Source organism: Homo sapiens, chromosome 11 (genome assembly GCF_000001405.40).
Source record: "Homo sapiens chromosome 11, GRCh38.p14 Primary Assembly".
NCBI classification, from domain to species: Eukaryota; Metazoa; Chordata; class Mammalia; order Primates; family Hominidae; genus Homo; species Homo sapiens.
In genome coordinates, this window is record NC_000011.10 from 42594125 (window position 1) to 42596712 (window position 2588).

General features: G+C 39.0%; 1 annotated feature.

The window, feature by feature from the left end:
• Positions 1679-2213: an enhancer, noted in NCBI's record as "OCT4-NANOG hESC enhancer chr11:42617353-42617887 (GRCh37/hg19 assembly coordinates)". NCBI's record gives its function as "activates a minimal SCP1, AML or CMV promoter by ChIP-STARR-seq in primed H9 embryonic stem cells {active_cell/tissue: H9 hESC(primed)}" and the evidence as "EXISTENCE:reporter gene assay evidence [ECO:0000049][PMID:30033119]".

Genomic DNA, 2588 nt, shown 5'->3' on the forward strand with positions numbered 1-2588 from the left:
CTTTATTTGTAAACAAATCATTGAGAGTTGACCATCTGATCAAATAGGTCCATAACTACATTTTACTTACAAGTCAGATGTTCAGATAGGAAGCACATGGATTTTGGAGTCAGGACAATATATATTTGAACCTCAGCTCTGCCACTTATTAGCTGAGTGACCTAAAACAGATGACTTCACCTCTCTGGGCCTCAGTTTCCTTATCTGTCAAGTTGACTGACAACACCTGTCTCAAAGAGTTATTGTGAGGATTAAATGAGAGAAATAATGGGAATATGTTCAGTATGTAGCCTGGCCACACAGTACAGTAAAAAGAAAATGAGTTTGAAGCACATGAAAGAGTTGAAATCCTGGCTGTGCTATTGTTTATCTATGAAAATTTGTAGGAGAAATCCAGGTATTCTAAGTCTCCTTTTCCTTATTTGTCACGTGGAAAATAACACTGAATTTAAAACTTGCATTGCATAGATTTAAAATATTATTTGCAAATGTCTAACATAGAGTCTGTTTTTCAGTTATCTTTATTTTTACAAACTTATAAAAGTTTCTTTTTTCCTTCACTTCCACAGAATCTTATTAGAACATGTAAACCAGGGTAATCTCCTAATTCTAAGTTTTTACTGAGGTGGGAGTGACAGGAATAAACATTATGATGAGAAGATGTTGAACATGAATTTATGAAATGTAAAGAAAAGTCCAAAAGATTCCTCTGGAAAGTAAAGAATTTATAAAAAATATTTTTAAATAATGTTATGACAATATACATTCTGATTTCTTCTATTATTATTAATAATAATATTACTGAGACCAGGTCTCACTCTGTTGCTGAGGCTAGAGTGCAGTGGCACAATCACAGCTCACTGCAGCCTCTATCTCCCGGGCTCAAGCTATCTTCCCACCTCAGCCTCCTGAGTATCTGGCTTTTTTTTTTTTTTTTTTTTTGGTAGAGACAAGGTCTTCCTGTGTTGCCCAGACTAGTCTGAAATTCCTGAGCTCAGGCTATCCTCCTGCCTCAGCCTCCCAAAGTATTAGGATTACAAGTGTGTGCTGCCATGCGGGCTAATTTCTTTGTACGCTAATGTTCATAAAGAGATCAAGAATGTTGTAACTGTGACAAAACAGGACACCCGTGATTCTATCTTTTCTCTAGTTAAAACATCATCAGAGAAATTCACAGGGATTAAGCCAGATAAAAAGTGTTTGGACCATTGGGAAGAATGTAAAATGTTCTGGATGGTGCAAAGGAAAGACAGATAGAACACCACGGAGCATCTAGCTAGGGGCGTAGCTTTCAAGAGGTGTGGGTCTGCTCATGAGCTGTAATGGCAGGAGGAGTACAGTGGGCTCAGTGCCAGTCCATCACTGACCCTGGAAAAATGTGTCCCCCCCACACATCCTTCCAAAAAAGACTCTCTGAATGCATGAAAGCCAAATAAAGAAGTGACAACCTGCAGGCTAAGGTCACTGACTTCTAAGCCTAAAGTTAAAAGCAACTCTGAAAACATGCACTGGAAAAGACATCAGAAGATTTCACTATTCTCCACTGGCCTATTCTCCACTCTGCTTTGTACCCTGAATAATTCCCTTCTCCATCTCTACACCTCAGCTTTACCACCTGTAAGATGGAATAAAGGTGCATTGGCTAACTTCTGAGTTGTTTTTTGTTTTGTTTTGTTTTTTAGCACCAACGAATGCTGTGTTTCTTTTCTGTCAAAGGTATTCAGGATTTATTTGTAACAAGAAGTCAGCAAATTGCTAGGTGACATCTAGCATAGAACCTGGAACAGTAGAAGTTGCATTAAAAAAAAAAAAGAAGAAGAAATGCCTGGAAATGCACTGCTTCAATATGCTCAAGGTAGTTAGTTAACACGTGGCCAACTGAAACATACTATCACTTTGAAGGCAGTGGCTTTCACTTCATTGGAAGTGCAGACTGAAGCCCAGCTCTGGAAATTCTTGCATAAATTATGACTTCCTCAGGAATGATAATGGAGTCTCCCTCACTTCTCTTCAAAGAGGCTTTGTTCAGTCTTCAAGGTGGTAACACGAGCTCCTATATTCTATGCCAAAAGGGAAATCATCATATTGCCTCTCATGCACATGCTTGCATCCTCCCTTCCTTCTACTGCCCAGCCTTGCACCTTTTTATCATGAAGCAGAGACTAGACATGTTCAAGTCTGTGCCCTGTGCAGACAGCAAAGACAAGTCTTGGGAAAGAGGTGCTGTCTGGGGGCCTTCTGGACATGAATACGAGCCACCCCCATACTATCTGATCATTCACTATCTAGATCTAAGGAAAAATAAAACTTGGGTCCCTAAATGCAAACCTCTTGGAAATACTTCCTTCCTGTAGACACAGCCTAAATGTTCAATATTAATGACATAATTACATAATTATTACATGCAATGATAATAATGATATAATCATTAGGATCACCCTACTGGAACATAAGCACTCTCATCTATTAATAACCACATACACATATCATGCTGTCATTATGAAGGTTATAAATTGCTTCTCCATGTGCTGTCTCCTTACAGAAATGAGGATGCTGTGACACTTTGCCCTCCTGGACGTCTCTGGGGA